The sequence below is a fragment of the Homo sapiens genome, chromosome 2, assembly GCF_000001405.40.
Source record: "Homo sapiens chromosome 2, GRCh38.p14 Primary Assembly".
Classification (NCBI taxonomy): Eukaryota; Metazoa; Chordata; class Mammalia; order Primates; family Hominidae; genus Homo; species Homo sapiens.
Genome location: NC_000002.12, coordinates 224,487,283 through 224,504,856, shown reverse-complemented (window position 1 = coordinate 224,504,856; position 17,574 = coordinate 224,487,283). Strand labels below are relative to the sequence as shown.

General features: G+C 35.8%; 1 protein-coding gene and 1 pseudogene across 7 annotated transcripts in view; both read left to right on the top strand.

Moving 5' to 3' along the window:
• The window catches only part of CUL3 (cullin 3), a 115,214-nt gene that overhangs the window by 80,507 nt on the left and 17,133 nt on the right, over positions 1-17,574 (top strand). For all 7 annotated transcript variants that reach the window (NM_001257197.2, NM_003590.5, NM_001257198.2 and 4 more), the window contains 5 exons: positions 1,035-1,205; positions 1,785-1,892; positions 4,370-4,494; positions 7,008-7,104; positions 8,891-9,025. In NM_001257197.2, coding sequence (NP_001244126.1) covers positions 1,035-1,205; positions 1,785-1,892; positions 4,370-4,494; positions 7,008-7,104; positions 8,891-9,025 — 636 coding nt within the window. The remainder of the gene's footprint in view (positions 1-1,034; positions 1,206-1,784; positions 1,893-4,369; positions 4,495-7,007; positions 7,105-8,890; positions 9,026-17,574) is intronic.
• ANKRD49P1 (ANKRD49 pseudogene 1) lies at positions 4,640-5,677 on the top strand (annotated as a pseudogene).

Below are 17,574 nucleotides of genomic sequence, written 5' to 3'. Positions count from 1 at the left end.
GAAGCATAAAACATGCTCACATCTGAATTGGTCTCTTTTGACTTCATTTTGGAATTTGTGACACCAAAGGGAAAAGCAACATGTCGTCACAGGTTTTACAGGCAGTAGCTGCAATAAGGGAACAAAATCACTAAGGTTGCACAGAATAGAAAAGTCTATTAATTTATGCATTCATTTGGTCTTCCGTTTTTCAAATATATTAATACAACCTGCCACAGAATCCTTTTGCCCTTATTTAAAAGTAAGGGCAGCCAGGCACAGTGGCTCACGCTTGTAATCCCAGCACTTTGGGAGGCAAAGGCGGCGGATCACCTGAGGTTGGGAGTTCAAGACCAGCCTGACCAATATGGAGGAAACCCATCTCTACTAAAAATACAAAATTAGCCGGGTGTGGTGGTGCATGTCTAATCCCAGCTACTCGGGAGGCTGAGGCAGGAGAATTGCTTGAACCCGGGAAGCAGAGGTTGCGGTGAGCCGAGATGGCGCCATTGCGCTCCAGCCTGGGCAACGAGTGAAACTCCGTCTCAAAAGAAAAAAAAAATAGAAATAAAAAAATAAAGTAAGGGCAATGGCCTTTTTACTGTTTGGATTATAACAAATTATTGCCTTTTGTTTGCACAGTTGAGGCTTTCAGTGAGCTTAAATGAAAAATTCCGTCTTTTGGCTGTGTAAGTTTTTGCCTGCATATGCAAAGGCTTCATAAAATAATCTCTGTGACTAAAATTTCATTTCATCTGTTCTCAATCATCCCTTAACCCAGCGCTATATTACCTTATGCCTCCAATTCAGTGGTAGCCCTCTACGGAATAGAATTCCACTCCAACCCCTCATTCATGATGCACTAAATGAGAATGTAAGAATGATGCTACTGTGTGAAGTAGGAGACACTTTCTCAAACCGTATCCCTTTTTTTGATGTATGTCAACCAGATATCTATGTTTTCAAACAATAGTGTTTTTAAGCTGTAAATGAACCGTAGTACTGCTTTTGTAGAACTAAAATTGTATAATTGTTACATCATCTTAATTTTGCAGCTAACAGAACAAGAAGTAGAAACAATATTGGATAAAGCAATGGTCCTTTTTAGGTTTATGCAAGAAAAAGATGTATTTGAACGTTATTATAAACAACACTTGGCAAGGAGACTTCTCACAAATAAAAGTGTTTCTGATGACTCTGAAAAAAACATGATATCTAAGTTAAAGGTAAGGTGTGTTTTAGATGAAATAGAGTGCACCTAACTGAGGTTTATTATGATTGTGTACTGACAACGTGATTGGAAATTAATTTGGTAGATTATTAAGTGTTTATTTCTAGAAATAAAGGTAGATTGTTTTGGAGAAGAACACAGACTACACTAACATTTGTTCAAGTTCAGGGACATTCAGAGTTTGCTGGAATTTCTGTTGGTGTGTCAGGATACATTCATGGAGGCCTGGAAGGGAGGATTAGTAAAAGGGAAACAATAAAGAGGCTATGCTGTGTAGTTCTTTTTCACAAAGTGTGGTCCATAGAATACTTGCACGTGAATCACCTGAGATGCTAGTTAAAAACAGTTCTGGGCCCTGCCTTTCATGGGGGTATATTGGAATCTCTGAAAGAATCTGGGAATTTGCATTTTAAAATCCTAAAGTTTGATAACCACAGGCACAGAGCAACTGTTGGAAAAATTTACAGGAAGATTATCAGGGATAGCAATAACATGAAATAATTTATTTCTTTCTGTACTTTCTCATAGAAACATCTACCATTTATTTGTGTATATTTGTGTTTTTCCTCCACAGACTGAATGTGGATGTCAGTTCACGTCAAAACTGGAAGGAATGTTTAGGGATATGAGCATCTCAAACACAACGATGGATGAATTCAGGCAACATCTACAGGCAACTGGTGTAAGATTCTGCGTTAATTTCTACTTAGATATTCATGTAAAGTCTTTTGTAATGGGTATATTTTCATCCACTTAGCAGATGACAGTTGTTTCTTTAAATGTCATTAGTGACAACATGTGTTTTATCTGTGAGTACTTAATTTTCCTTCACATTGCCTCTTATTCTGTGTTTATGTTAAAACTTTTTATTCTTTTAAAATTTAGTTGTTTCTTCCCACTTGAAGGAATACACTGACAATTTAATAAAGAGAATTATTCTGTTGTTAATAAAGATAATACAAATCTATTATAAATTGTGGAAAGAGTACTGGGCTTAACACAAGTTTACTGAGTTTCAGTACTCTTCTTTTCACTTTACCCCAAGATTGTGTCATCTTGGGATAGTCACCTGACCTTCCTATACCTCACTACTATTATTCTCCTCTGTAAGTTTAGCTTAAATGGGACTTACATCCTAAGGGTGCGTAGCAGGTGAAGTGAGACTATAAAAACACAGAAATTAATGTATTATAAATGTGTTTGGTATAACTCCCCAAAGGTGGTGAGCTGGAACTTCTTTAGCTTTGGAGTCTGATGGGAGTTTTATGAGCATTTAATGAAATTCAGAATTTAGTTTCATTTTTTACTCTGATTTTCAACTTAACCTTAAGTTTAGAGAATTGTACAGTTTTTAAATTTTTAAAATCACCGTGTACCACTCTATGGTTAAAATGTGTCACAACCATTTAACAGATTTGTGAGTCTTTTCCTTTGGTATCTAAATATGAGATCATCACTTCTACTGGCCTTATAGTCTCGCAAACCAGATACGTGAAAATACGTAATTCTGTAGAATAACCATTCATTTCTATGAAAACATTCTGACTCTAATGTAAATAGTTGTATGATTTGCTTTATAAATATCAGTGTTTACAGTGGAGAAGAGCTGAGAGGAGGAAAGATGCAAGTCCATGACAGAAATTTCGGGTGGACAGGAAATAGTGGTGTAATTATCCTGGATTTTTATTTTTAGATTGTTTAGGAATTTATAGTTAAATCTAATATATTGATATATTTTCTTGTATTTTTTTGTTTGCTCTAGTAAGTTTTTAAATTTTTTTCTTCCACTAATCTTACACATTGAAAGCTATAGGGAAGATTGGGCTAGATCCCATGCATATTGATATGGGATGGATGGACTGTCCACTTTGTGACCCTCCCTTCCCCTAACCAACTTGCGAATGTATAAACAGTTCTCCACCTCCCCCAGTACACCATCTAAGAGTCTCCTCTATGATCCTCTCTTCTGTGCATCATCCAAGTTTATTTTCAGTTTCCTTAAAGTTAAGTAATCATTTAGTGGATACTTGTGAAGAAATCGGAGTGTAGAATGCTTCTTGATATTCATAAACTGATTCCTCCCCTTAAAAATTTACATTACTAAATCATTGAGGTAAGATAAAAATGGAATGATGGTTTATAACACATCCTGAATATCAATAATAGAAATAATATTTAATCTTTAAGAGTTTTTGTTGTGCCTTATTGTTGTTTACTTAAAAATTTAATTTGTTTAAAGGAAGAAAATAATTGTGACAGTTGATACTAGCATAGAAGTAGTTATTCATTGTACAGATATTTGTAGAGCACCTGCTCTGTAGCACTGGATCTATAGTGTTATAGCACTGGATCTGTATGCAGAGGTTGTTAGAATGTGAGCTACATGCTAAAACGTAAAAGTTTTAATTAACTGTAGTTGAAATAGGTGCTGGAATATTAGAAATATGTATTAAGATAGTAAAAATATTTTAAAACTGAGACGAAGGATATTATGCTAGAATTTTCTCTAAAATGATATAATTGACCCTCCTTGACCTTTTATTTAAAAAGGCCCAAACTTTTCAGTTCTCAGTGATAACAGTAAGACTTGATTTATGTGCCAAAAACTATTCTTTGGTCAGTGTTTTTAAATTAACATAATAAGCAATAATTAAGCTATTTGCCATGTAGTTAAAATTTGGGAAACACTGGGTGGGTCTAACCTTTAAGGAAATCTGTTTTTTTGCCGGGTGCGATGTCTCACGCCTATAGTCCCAGCACTTTGGGAGGCTGAGACGGGCAGATCATCTGAGGTCAGGAGTTCGAGACCAGCCTGACCAACATGGAGAAACCCCGTCTCTACTAAAAATACAAAATCAGCCAGGCGTGGTGGGCATGCCTGTAATCCCAGCTACTCGGGAAGCTGAGGCAGGAGAATCGTTTGAACCTGGGAGGCGGAGGTTGCAGTGAGCCGAGATCGTGCCATTGCATTCCGGCCTGGGCAACGAGCGAAACTCTGTCTCAAAAAAAAAAAAAAAAAGAAAAGAAAATCTGCTTTTTTTTAAATTAGATATTAGACATGGAGCTAACTGCTTTGGTAAATCTAACACAATGTCTAAACAGAACAGAAAGCAAATCCTAGTTAATTTTGAGGGGAATATCTCTTTCTGTTTTACATAGGTATCTTTAGGTGGTGTTGATCTTACAGTCCGGGTGCTCACGACAGGATATTGGCCCACTCAGTCAGCCACACCAAAGTGCAACATCCCACCAGCACCAAGACATGCTTTTGAGATATTCAGAAGGTAAATCAAAATCAGACTTTGTATCACTGTGTACAAGTAAGTGTTCAAAATTAAAAATGAATTTGAACATTAGTATCCGTAATTGAGGATGAATGTATTCCATTTATTACCTCGTGATCAAAAGGAGCATTTATCCTGGCATACAGCAATTTCCCCCTCTATAGGATCTTGATGAGTAAAGTAAAGCAGGCATAATTTATCTCTAGAAAGATTGTTTATATGCTGGCATTTGAAATGCCTTTTATTTAGAGCAGCAGTAAAAATGGAAAAAGAGAAAGTAAATGATGATGGAAAACTAGACCCAGAGAATTCCTTGGACTTTTCTGAACACTTCAGCTAACTCCAATTGTTGGAAATACGTGGATACCTTATTCCCACTAGTACTCAGAGTCTCTGAGATGGCAGTTTTGATGAGGAAGAGGAGCAAGATGAAAAAAAAACAAGAGTGATATGCAAGAAAAAAACAGAGAAAGATCCAAGCAAATATTTTTTTTGGGCTGCTGAAAATAATTGGCTTATCCAGTGTGGAGACTGCTTTGTGAAAAGACCACTCGTGTGAACACTAGGGATGAAGATGAGTGTATCACCCCCTTCATCGAGCAGCCTAAGGTGGACACTTAGACATTGTCTGTGAGCTGATTGCACAAGGGGCAGAAGTTTTTGCAGTGACCGTAGATAGCTGGACACCCCTGCAGGGTGCTTATAAGTGGAATAATACCAGAGTGGCTTCTTTATTTCTTCAGCATGGTGTAGATTAGTTATCAGTGACCAAACAAAAGGTCTCTTGACCCACTTGCATCTTGCTGCTGGGATCAGAGACAGCAGAGCTACTCTAGAACATCTACTGGTGAACTGTTAACCTCAAACCAGATCTGAAAAAACAACTGGGAAGAAACTGTATTTGATATTGCCAGGAGGACAAGTATCTGTCACGACCTCTTTGAAATTGTGGAAGGCACTGTACAAATTCTTCACCTTAGTCTTAATGATTCTAGTAATTGTCTTAAGTGTCCAAGTACCAGTGCCTTCTTTGTGTGAGATGTAAAATATTCCCATAGTAAAAGGTTGACATCAAACATCTTACTACAAAAAATTCATTGGTACTTATTAAGATGTTCTTCCAGGTGAATTGCCTGACCTTGATGTCAAAATGTATTTGAAAGTTGTTTGAATATATCTTGAATGATTTCTGTGGAGTTTGTGATTTGTATCAGAAATAATTTCGACTTGCCTACACTTAAAAACTTGACGTGGGTTGTACAGAAACTAAAGATATTTTTGGTGCTGATCCAGGAGATACGTATTTTTAAATAGCCCATATCCTGGATCTTTGTTGAGTATTCAGCATATTGACATGTATCTTTGTAAGGTGAAGTAACTAAGAATTTAACTTAAAAAGCCTCGAACATTCTGGTGCTATTCCTGCTGTCTTCTCTACATTACCATAGCCAGTTGCTTTCATTTTGAACCAGAAGCACTAGCATATTATTGACTTGTAGCTTCATAAATTAAAAAAATAAAAACTAGATTTTGTCTTTTAGAACATAGGCCATTTTCCAGGAAAGCAGCTAGGTTTTAATCCATTAATCTTGTATACTGTCTCCACCACCACAATTCACATAATCCTGTAGACAGTCCTGCTTCACCCTGGTCAACTGCATGATCCTTATTGTAATAGTGAATCAGTATAACACTTTAGACATGCACACAGATAACACGCTGTTGCAAGAGTTCATGATATGTCTGCTGTCCAACTAGTTTTATTTGCCTGATCCTACTGGTTTAGGCACTGCCTATAGTCTCGAGTTCACAGAAATGTTGGGTTTTTTCCCTCCCCAAAGTCCTCATTTTTTATAAACTGTAGAAAGGCAAAATGACAAGGGAAAAGGAATTCTAAGAGTGAAGGGATGATTGTTATATTGGGGCAAGAACCACAGAGTGGCTCAGGCTTTGGAAAAAATATGGTGTGGATAGTGACAAAAAACATAAATATAAAAATTCAAGAAAAACTACCAGTTTTGAACAACAAAAACAAAGGGAGAGTTTATCCTTTATAATTTTAATATGTAAGAAAAAATTACATAAACTTTTCCCAGAGGAATATTTTATAAATGTGCATTGAGTATTTTTCGTACTGTGGTATAGGAGTATATTTTGTACTGTTGATGTCTGCTACTGACTTAGAACAAATTGATTATTGGGTTACTATGGAGAAAGGTGGTCTTAAGAACAGCAAGGGCTGAGCAGCAGTAGGTTGGGGCAGAGTGTACAGTAGAAATTATTTAGTGTGGGGCCTTTGTCATTTAATATCTAGCTGAGTTACTTAGGACTCTCTCAAGGTCTTGCCTATAGAAAGTTGAAACTGAACTTGATTCCTAAAGTTTCCTTTAAGTTTTAAAGTCCATACACACACACACACACACACAAATGTTTAAGGGATGTTATCCTGTAGTTTGTAATTTCAAATGTGTAAGTTTGTTTGATTTTCTAAAACCTGGTTTGATTTACTGAAGGTTCTACTTAGCCAAACACAGTGGTCGACAGCTCACACTCCAGCATCATATGGGTTCTGCAGATCTCAATGCCACATTTTATGGACCAGTTAAAAAGGTAAATATTGATAGTTTGAACGTATTAAGTAACTTAAAGTTAGTCTATTAGAGCTGATGTGTGATTTATGTTGACCTGGGTAAATTACTTACTTCTGTTTCTCTGCCTGTCTCACATGTTAGAAAGGTTAAAAATCCTAGCTTTGATTTATTACTTCTGTTCTCTCAGTTGCTAACTGCACCTTTGAAAATATGAAGACTATACCAGTATAGTCTTCCCTAAGGACTAAACATTAGGATAATTACATATTTTATTCATAAAATTAGGTTTGAGAAAATATTGCATAAAATAGTAAAATGTAAGTTGATTTCAGTGCATACAAAGCCATGAGCCCCTTTTCAAAATTCTGTCACCTATAATCTTTATTTCTAATAAATCAAGATTGGGAAAATTAACATTTGTGATTTGTTAGATATATAAATGTTATTAAAGTAATTTAAAAAATTAGTATTAGACCAGTGATTTGCCTTCATTTTTAAAAAGCAATCGCATTTTTATATCTAGATTGTGAGGTTTAGAGTAATAATTTATTTTCATTACTTGATATGAATCAGGATTTTTTGCCTTCAGAAAATATTAAGTCTTCTAGAAAAACTGTAGAAATATACCTAAATTGTCATCTAGGAGGCAAATAAGCTTTAGATTTTAATGAGAATTTTACTAGTTTGGTATGATGAATCACTGTTAACATCAGATTAAGTATTGCTGAAAATGCCCATAAAAATATTCTAATTTTGATATTTAATTGAAATGGGAAATAGTGCTTTATAATTTCGTTAAATAATATTCGACACATATTTAAGTGTAAGTGGGAAGGACAAGGAAACTAAAGAACTCAGCTTTTAATTACTGCCTGCTTTTGTTTTAAAAGAGGGTTTTTTTTCCCTAAATAATCATGTTCTTTTGAAGTTTATTAAGCAGATCAGTAGATTTTTAAAACATATGCATATGTTAATTATTGAAGAATTAGAAAGTTCCACTTTGTATCCCTTAAATCGTAAAGCAGGAATAGGCTTTGAGAATGGCAGTTCCCCCCTCCTCCCCCAGCCCCCATGCTATGCTATGCTATTTTTTGATCTCTTACTGTGATCACATCACACAGAAAGAAACCTAATCCTGTTACTTTTGGTGGTAGTATAACAGTAGTGGTGTTTTGTAAGTCTATTATTATTATCATCCCATAGTGTACTGTTAAAATAATTTTAGCATTAAATACAGGGAATTGATTAGTTACTTGTTCAGATAACATTAAAATGTTCACAATGGGGGGACAAGGGACAGTCCTAAATACTGTTTGTGTGTGTGTGCACACATTTTAAGAAATAGATTTCCTTTATATAAATAAGTTATGTAGTTTTGTTGGGGGAGGATGGAGATTATGGGACCTATTTCTGAAACATACCATTAAAGTTACCAGAAAATTGGTCAGGCGTGGTGGCTCACGCCCATAATCTCAGCATTTTGTGAGCCTATGCGGGCAAATCACTGGAGCCCATTAGTTTGAGACCAGCATGGGCAACATGGCAAAACCCCGTTTCTACAAAAAATACAAAAGTTAGCTGGGCATGATGGTGCACACACATGGTCCTAGTTACTTGGGAGGCTAAGGTAGGAGGATTGCTTGAGCCCAGGAGGTTGAGGCTGCAGTGAGCTGTGTTTGCGCCACTGCACTGTAGCCTGGATGACAAAGTGAGACCCTGTAACATACATATGTACGTACATACATACATTAATGTTACCAGGAAATGATTGTGTCTTTGTTTATATTTTTTTAAAAATGAAACAGGAAGATGGATCTGAAGTTGGTGTTGGAGGTGCACAAGTAACTGGCTCTAATACACGGAAGCACATATTGCAAGTTTCCACTTTCCAGATGACCATATTAATGCTCTTTAATAATAGAGAAAAATACACATTTGAGGTATGGATTGTGGTTATATACATTTTAACTGTGTTGTTTCTAACTCTCACTTGTTACTTGAGTCTTTCTTATTTGAATAACCTTTAGAGAGTCTCTTTGGGTACTTTTAGAGAAAACTGTATAAAATGGATCATGGAACTGTATGAACATCATACATGTATTGAGTTATGTCTTATTTTTAAATTAACTTTATAGAAGTACTTTTATATAAAACATACCTTATATAAGTAGACAATTTGATGAGTTTTAAATGAGTGCATCTTTGTAACTACCATCACAAGAATATTGCCCGAAAATACAGAGCATTACCTCCAAAATTGCGTTGTACCCCTTGCCAGTCTATTCCCTCCTACCACCTCCAGCCCCAGGCAGCCAGTGACCTGCTTTATATCACTATAAATTAGTTTTGTTTTTTTTTAGACTTTCATGTAAATGGAATCATACATGTTGTCTGTATGCTTTAATCCTTTGTCAGTTCACCTGCATTTGGGTTGATACCGGATTTAGGCTAAGTAGAGCTATATGTTTAACATTTTAAGAAACTGCCGAACTGTATCCCAAAGCAACTATACCATTTTCCTTATTTGCCAGCAGTGCAAGACGGTCCAGTCGCTCTACATCATCTGCAGTCTTTAGATTTTGAGCCGCTTTAGTTGGTGTGTAATAGTGTCTCATTTTGGATTTAATTTTCTTTTTTTTTTTTGATGATGATGTTGAGCATCTTTTATGTGTTAATATGCCACTGATATATCTTGTTTGGTGAAGTGTTTGTATCTTTTTTGAGTTGTTTTCTTACTACATTGTAAAAGTTCTTTATAAATTCTGGATACAAGTCCTTCGTCAGATATATGTGCTCTGAGTATTTTTTTCAGTCTGTTGCTTGCCTTTTCATTTTCTTAATGGTGTCTTTTGAAGAGCAGAGTTTTAAAATACTGAAAAAGTCCAGTTAATCACTTTGCTTTTTGTAGTTTGTGCTTTAAGTCCTAAGAAATTATTGCCTACCCTGAATTTGTAACGATTTACTTTTATTTTTTCAATAGTTCGTAATTTTAGCTTTTACATGTATGTCTACGATGAATTTTAGGTTAATTTTTTTATATAGTATAAGGTAAGGATTAAGATACATTTCCCCTCACGCTGTCAGTTGTTTGTTCCAGCATCATTTGTTGAAGGCACTATTTTTTTCCCACCGAATTACCTTGTCGTCATTATTTAAAAATCAATTGATCATATATGGGTGGGTCTATTTTTATGCTGTCTGATCTGTTTCATTGATCTCTATGTCTGTCTTTATGCCAGTTTTATGCTGTCTTGATAGTGCAGTCATTTTTCTCTTTGCACCCATCTTTTTTCATTAGAGTAACTAATTTTATAATATGCTTTTTTTTCCTTTTCCTTTTCTCCCAATTAAAATATGATTTGATTACATTAAATCCAATTAGTCTTTTCCTGTACATTTAAAGGGTGTTTTGGGGTTAAAATGAAGGTCATGTGATTCACATTAAGTTTAAATTTAAGGTAATGAATATTTTGAAAGACTCAAAATTAATTCCATATTTGTACTTAATTGAAAACCAATTTTCATATACAGGTGAGCACAAGAAAAAAAATAGTGTGTTTGAAATTAAGAGCAAGTTCTAGGCCTATTTAATATTCATGTCCATACTCCCATTTATGTATCCCATTTATATGGGAGTATGGAAGTTAGTATAATTAAGAGAGCCATCATTTTTATGTGATATATTTAAAGGGAATGCTTGAAATCTAGGTATTTTAGTAGCTCAGTGGCTAAATTGAGAAGTTTTTCTTATGGATTTCCATGTGGGTCTTACCTAGGGAGTAACCTTGAATTTTTTTTACTTTTATTTTTATTTTATTATTACCTTGATTTTCAAGCATGAGTTATATTTGATTGAGTCCCAAGAATACTGATTAAGCAAGCGTTGAGTACCTTACCCAAACCTAGGCTTTTCAAACAGAGGTGGAATTAAATTATCTCTAACAGCTGTTTTTGTGTAGTCATTTTTTTAATCTGCGGCTCTTAATGGATAAAATATTTTAAACAAAATTAGCTACTTGGTAAATGCTAGAGTTGATTTTCAGAGTCCTGGCTTATAAAGACCTGGTAAAAAATAATGGGATAATAAAAAATACGAATTCATTTTTTAAAGCTGTTACTGGAATTGCTGGAAAATTTAGTGGTTCAAGCTTTTCCTTTTCCCATCTGACTTGGAATCATTGATGCTAATAAGCAGTTATTAGATGGAAGGTTAAAATTAAGTAGAGAATATCTGTAAGTTTTCCAACTTTAGCTAAGTCACAAAGCAGAAACTGATTGTAGTGTATATAGAATGCCATGCCTATGGCTCCAAAGCCTTCTGGCTGCTGACACCTCAAATCTGGGGCATTGTGAGAAGGCACAAGAAATGTGTCTTTACTCAACACCACGTGTTTCTCTACAGTCTGTTGCTAATGTTTTATTAGCTAGCCTTTTTAAAGAAATCACCTCCACAAATTAGTGGAGATAGTTAAAAGTATTTAATTATAATAATTTAAAGGAAGGTGAACTTTTATTTTTGAATATTCTGTGTGAGTTCAGTAAGATGGTGTATTGTTTAATGCCACATGACGAATTTCAAAAGTTAGTGATTTAAAACAACCACTAACAATTTATTATCTCTCGTTTCTGTGGGTTAGGGATTGAGAAGATACTCAGTTGGGTAGTTCTGGCTTGGGGTTCATGAGGTTGCATTTAGATGTTGTCTGGGGTTCTGGTCATCTGACGGTTTGACTGAAGCTGGAGAATACACTTCCAGGGTGGTTCACATGGCTGGCAAATTTGTTCTGGATGTTGTTAAGTGGCCTTAGTTTCTCTGCACATGGGCCTTTTCATGTGGCTCTTTGTCCTCAAATCTTGGTGGCTGGTTTTCCCAAGAGCGAGCAATCCAGAAGACCCAGGCAGAACCTGCAGTGCCTTTTTGATCTTTCCCTGGAAGACATGTAGTGTCACTTCTCATTTTCTTGGTTGCCCAAGTCAGCCCTGATAGTGAGAGGACCACACAAGATTAACATATACCAGGGTTATTACGTGCTGTCATAGAAGCTGGCTACAACAGGTGGCATTAATTTGTAGTGTCATATTTAATCTGTAGTAGTCAGGCTGCTGCTGAGGTTTTTTCTTTTCATGTTTTTTGAATGACTAAAGGTAAGTTTATTGTGATTTAGAACAGCTAAAAATAGGAAATACATACAGTGGTAGTCTGTACCTTGGACTTTAGTAATTAGCAGTGGGTTTTTGAAAGAGGTATGGATAAGAACTATTAATACATATTTTTGTTAATGTTCTTTATTTTTTATAATTTTATGAGAATGAGTCTGAAATTTAAAAACTACAGACAATAGCACTATTAATGTCAGAATTTAAATAGAAAACTTAACAGTAGTATTTGATATTCATCAATAATTTATAGCAATCATTAGGGACATAACTTCACAATATAGAAAGGAAAATGAAAGTACAAGGGAAAGTAGACAACTCGAGAATCATGGAAATTCCTTACAAATTTATTGACTAACCTGAGTTGAAAAGGGGGATATAGGAAATTTGAATAACACAATTAGCAAGTTAAAATTGAAGGCTGTTTAGCGAACTTTGAACTCAGAAGGCAAAATAGACATACTGCTCTCAGGAAATATCTGAGGCTAGCATAATTTTTTTGCTAAAACTGAGCAAGGAAAATACAAAAGAGAAAGAAAGCTTAAGGTTATTCATCATTCTGCCTTGCTCCTTAGATTCTAATACACTGAAAGCATAAATCTCAATATTAGCAAGTCATATTCAGTAGTGTATTGAAAGAATAATGCACTGTGTTCAAAAAGGATTTATCCCTACAATACAAAGAAAGGTCAGCATAGGAAAACTTTTTGAAAAGATCGTTATTAAGATATTGTAATAATTGTAAAAACAAGCAGTTGCCTAATTGCCAGGCACCATTTTAAGGAGAAAACCATTTGATCTCTATAGATGAACAAAAAGTATTTGATAAAAGCCAGTCCTCATTCCTTATAAAAGTGGGGGACTCATCGCCACCTTAGAATGGATTGCCCTTAATGCCATAAGGTTGTATCTGATGACAAACTAAATCATTGTAGTAGTTAGTAGGAAAATACTAGACACCTTTCTATTAGACTGAGGAACAAGATGAAGTTGCCTATCTTTACTACTACTATTATGCCTTGCTCTGCAGGTCCTAATATACTAAGAAGAAGAAAGGAATGAAATTCATAAGTATCAGGAAGAAATTGAAAAAATTATCAAAATCTGTAGATAATATGATTGTCAATTTGGCAATACATGATAATCAGTGAGAAAACATTTCTTTAGAAGAGTTTTGTTGGAAAGAAAATACCTTTTCAGTAAACCAGCATTAATCAGTAAATGACATGAAGAAAAGGATGTTTTATTAAGAATCATAGCCTTCCCAGGAATCATCTTAACAAGAACTGTGTAGACAGGGTACTTATACCAAGAAGACAGTAAAAGCTAAAGAATATGAAAGGGTAAATGTACCCAAATGGGAGAATTACAAGTTATAAGTGTGCTGTTTTTAAAAGTCACCTATAAATTCAAGGAAATCTGAAATGAAATGTCCAAAATATATATATTTTTAAATAAAACTCGACAAGCTGATTCCATAATTCATCTGGACCAGAAAATGCACAAGATTAGGCAAAACTACTTTTGAAAAGGGATGGGTCTTAGGTAGGAAAGCTCAGTGAAAGGGGAAGGAATTTGTCCTAATAACAAAACATACCATATCACGTTTTTTTAATTTATAATTTTTATGGGTACATAGTACATGTATATATTTATGGGATACGTGAGATATCTTGATACAAGCATATAGTGTGTAATAATCACATCAGGGTAAATGGGGTATCCATCTTAGCATTATTTGTGTTATGAAAATTCCGGTTGTATTCTCTGTTATTAAAAAGTATACAAGTTAACATTATTTAAAATGCATAGACAGACAGCTCATTTGAACAAAAGGGAGTCCAGAAGCAAACTAATATATTTGTAGGTGTCTGGGATGTGATAAATGTCTTTTTTTTTTTTTTCTTTAAAGCTCTGGGATGTATGTGCAGAACGTGTAAGTTTGTTACATAGGTATACTTGTGCCATGGTGGTCTGCTGCACCCATCACCCTGTAGGGTCCAGCCCCACAGGGTCGGTTGTTTTTCTCCCCTTGTGCGGAGACGAGAGATTGTAGAAATAAAGACACAAGACAAAGAGATAAAAGACAGCTGGGCCCGGGGGACCACTACCACCAAGACGCGGAAACCGGTAGGGCCCCGAATGCCTGGCTGCGCTGTTATTGGATACAAGGCAAAAGGGGCAGGGTAAGGAGTGTGAGTCATCTCCAATGATTGATAAGGTCACGTGAGTCACCTGTCCACCAGCCAGGGGGCCCTTCCCTGTTTGGCAGCCGAGGCAGAGAGAGAGGGGGTTAGAGAGAGAGGACAGCTTATGCCGTTATTTCTGCATATCAGAGACTTTTAGTACTTTCACTAATTTTGCTACTGCTATCTAAAAGGCAGAGCCAGGTGTACAGGATGGAACATGAAAGCGGACTAGGAGCGTGACCACTGAAGCACAGCATCACATGGCATGAGATGGTATCTCATTGTGGTTTTGATTTGCATTTCCGTAATGACCAGGGATGATGAGCTTTTATTCATGTTTGTTAGCAACACAAATGTCTTCTTTTGAGAAGTGTCTGTTCATATCCTTTGTCCACTTTTTGATGGGGTTCTTTTTTTCTTGTAAATTTGCTTAAGTTCCTTGTAGATTCTGGATATTAGACCTTTGTCAGATGGATAGATCGCAAAAATTTTTTCACATTCTGTAGGTTGCCTGTTCACTCTGATGATAGTTTCCTTGCTGTGCAGAAGCTCGTTAGTTTAATTAGATCCCATTTGTCAATTCTGGCTTTTGTTGCAGTTGCTTTTGGTGTTTTAGTCATGAAGTCTTTGCCCATGCCTATGTCCTGAATGGTATTGCCTACGTTTTCTTCTAGGGTTTTTATGGTTTTGGGTCTTATGAGTAGTTTTTTCTCTTTCTGTGAAGAAAGTCAATGGTAGCTTGATGGGAATAGCATTGAATCTGTAAATTACTTTGGGCAGTATGGCCATTTTCACAATATTGATTCTTCCTATCCATGAGCATAGAATATTTTTCCATTTGTTTGGTTTGTAGTTCTCCTTGAAGAGATCCTTCACGTCCTTTTTAAGTTGTATTCCTAGGTATTTTATTCTCTTTGTAGTAATTGTGAACGGGAGTTCACTCGTGATTTGGCTGTTTGTCTATTATTGGTGTATAGGAATGCTTGTGATTTCTGCACATTGATTTTGTGTCCTGAGACTTTGCTCAAGTTGCTTATCAGCTTAAAGAGTTTTTGGGCTGAGACGATGGGGTTTTCCAAATACACAATTATGTAATCTGCAAACAGAGACAATTTGACTTCCTCTCTTCCTGTTTGAATACTTTATTTCTTTCTGTTGCCTGATTGCCCTGGCCAGAACTTGCAATCCTATGTTGAATAGCAGTGGTGAGAGAGGGCATCCTTGTCTTGTGCCAGTTTTCAAAGGGAATGCTTCCAGCTTTTGTTCATTCAGTATGATATTGGCTATGGGTTTGTCATAGATAGCTCTTATTATTTTGAGATATGTTCAATACCTAGTTTATTCAGTGTTCTTAGCAGCAAGGGGTGTTGAATTTTACCAAAGGTCTTTTCTGCATCTATTGAGATAATCATGTGGTTTTTTCATTGGTTTTGTTTATGTGGTGGATTACGTTTATTGATTTGCATATGTTGAACCAGCCTTGCATCCCAGGGATGAAGCCAACTTGATTATGGTGGATAAGCTTTTTGATGTGCTGCTGGATTCGGTTTGCCAGTATTTTATTGAGAATTTTCACATCGATGTTCCTCAGGGATACTGGCCTGAAATTTTCTTTTTTTGTTGTGTCTCTGCCAGGTTTTGGTATCAGGATGATGCTGGCCTCATAAAATGAGTTAAGGTGAAGTCCCTCTTTTTATATTGTTTGGAATAGTTTCAGAAGGAATGGTACCAGCTCCTCTTTGTACTTCTGGTAGAATTCGACTGTGAATCCGTCTGATCCTGGGCTTTTTTGGGTTGGTAGGCTATTACTGCCTCAGTTTCAGAACTTGTTATTGGTCCATTCAGGGATTCAACTTCTTCCTGGCTTAGTCTTGGGAGGGTGTATGTGTCCAGGAATTTATGCATTTCTTCCAGATTTTCTAGTTTATTTGCATAAAAGTGTTTATAGTATTCCCTGATGGTAGTTTGTATTTCTGTGGGATCGGTGGTGATATCCACTTTATCGTTTTTTATTGTGTCTATTTGATTCTTCTCTCTCCTTTATTAGTCTGGTTAGCAGTCTTATCTATTTTTTAATCTTTTCAAAAAACCAGTTCCTGGATTCATTGATTTTTTTTTTTGAAGAGTTTTCTGTTTCTCTTATCTCCTTCAGTTCTGTTTTCTCTTATCTCCTTCAGTTCTGATGTTAGTTATTTGTCTTCTGCTAGCTTTTGAATTTGTTTGCTCTTGCTTGTCTAGTTCTTTTAATTGTGATGTTAGGGTGTCAATTTTAGATCTTTCCTGCTTTCTCCTGTGGGCAATTAGTGCTATAAATTTCCCTCTACACACTGCTTTAGCCGTGTCCCAGAGATTCTGGTACGTCGTGTCTTAGTTCTCATTGGTTTCAAATAACGTATTTATTTCTGCCTTCATTGTGTTATTTACCCACTAGTCATTCAGGAACAGGTTGTTCAGTTTCCATGTAGTTGTACAGTTTTGAATGAGTTTCTTAATCCTGAGTTCTAATTTGATTCCACTGTGGTCTGAGAGACTGTTTGTTACGATTTCCATTCTTTTGCATTTGCTGAGGAGTGTTTTACTTCCCATTATGTGGTCAATATTAGAATAAGTGTGATATGGTGCTGAGAAGAATATATATTCTGTTGATGTGGGATGGAGAGTTCTATAGATGTCTGTTAGTCGAGAGCTGAGTTCAGGTCCCTGAATATCCTTGTTAATTTTCTGTCTCATTGATCTGTCTAATATTGACAGTGGGGTATCAAAGTCTCCCCCTATTATTGTGTGGGAGTCTGAGTCTCTTTGTAGAGACTTTATGAATTTGCTTTATGAATCTGGGTGCTCCTGTGTTGGGTGCATATATATTTAGGATAGTTAGCTCTTCTTGTTGCATTGATCCCTTTACCATTATGTAATGCCCTTCTTTGTCTTTTTTTATCAGAGACTAGGATTGCAACCCCTGCTTTTTTTTTTTTTTTTTTTTTTGGGGGGGGCGGGCTTGGTAAATATTCCTCCATCCCTTTATTTTGAGCCTGTGTGTGCCTTTGCATGTAAGATGGGTCTCCTGAATACAGCACACTGATAGGCCTTGACTCTTTATCCAATTTGCCAGTCTGTGTCTTTTAATTGGGGCATTTAGCCCCTTT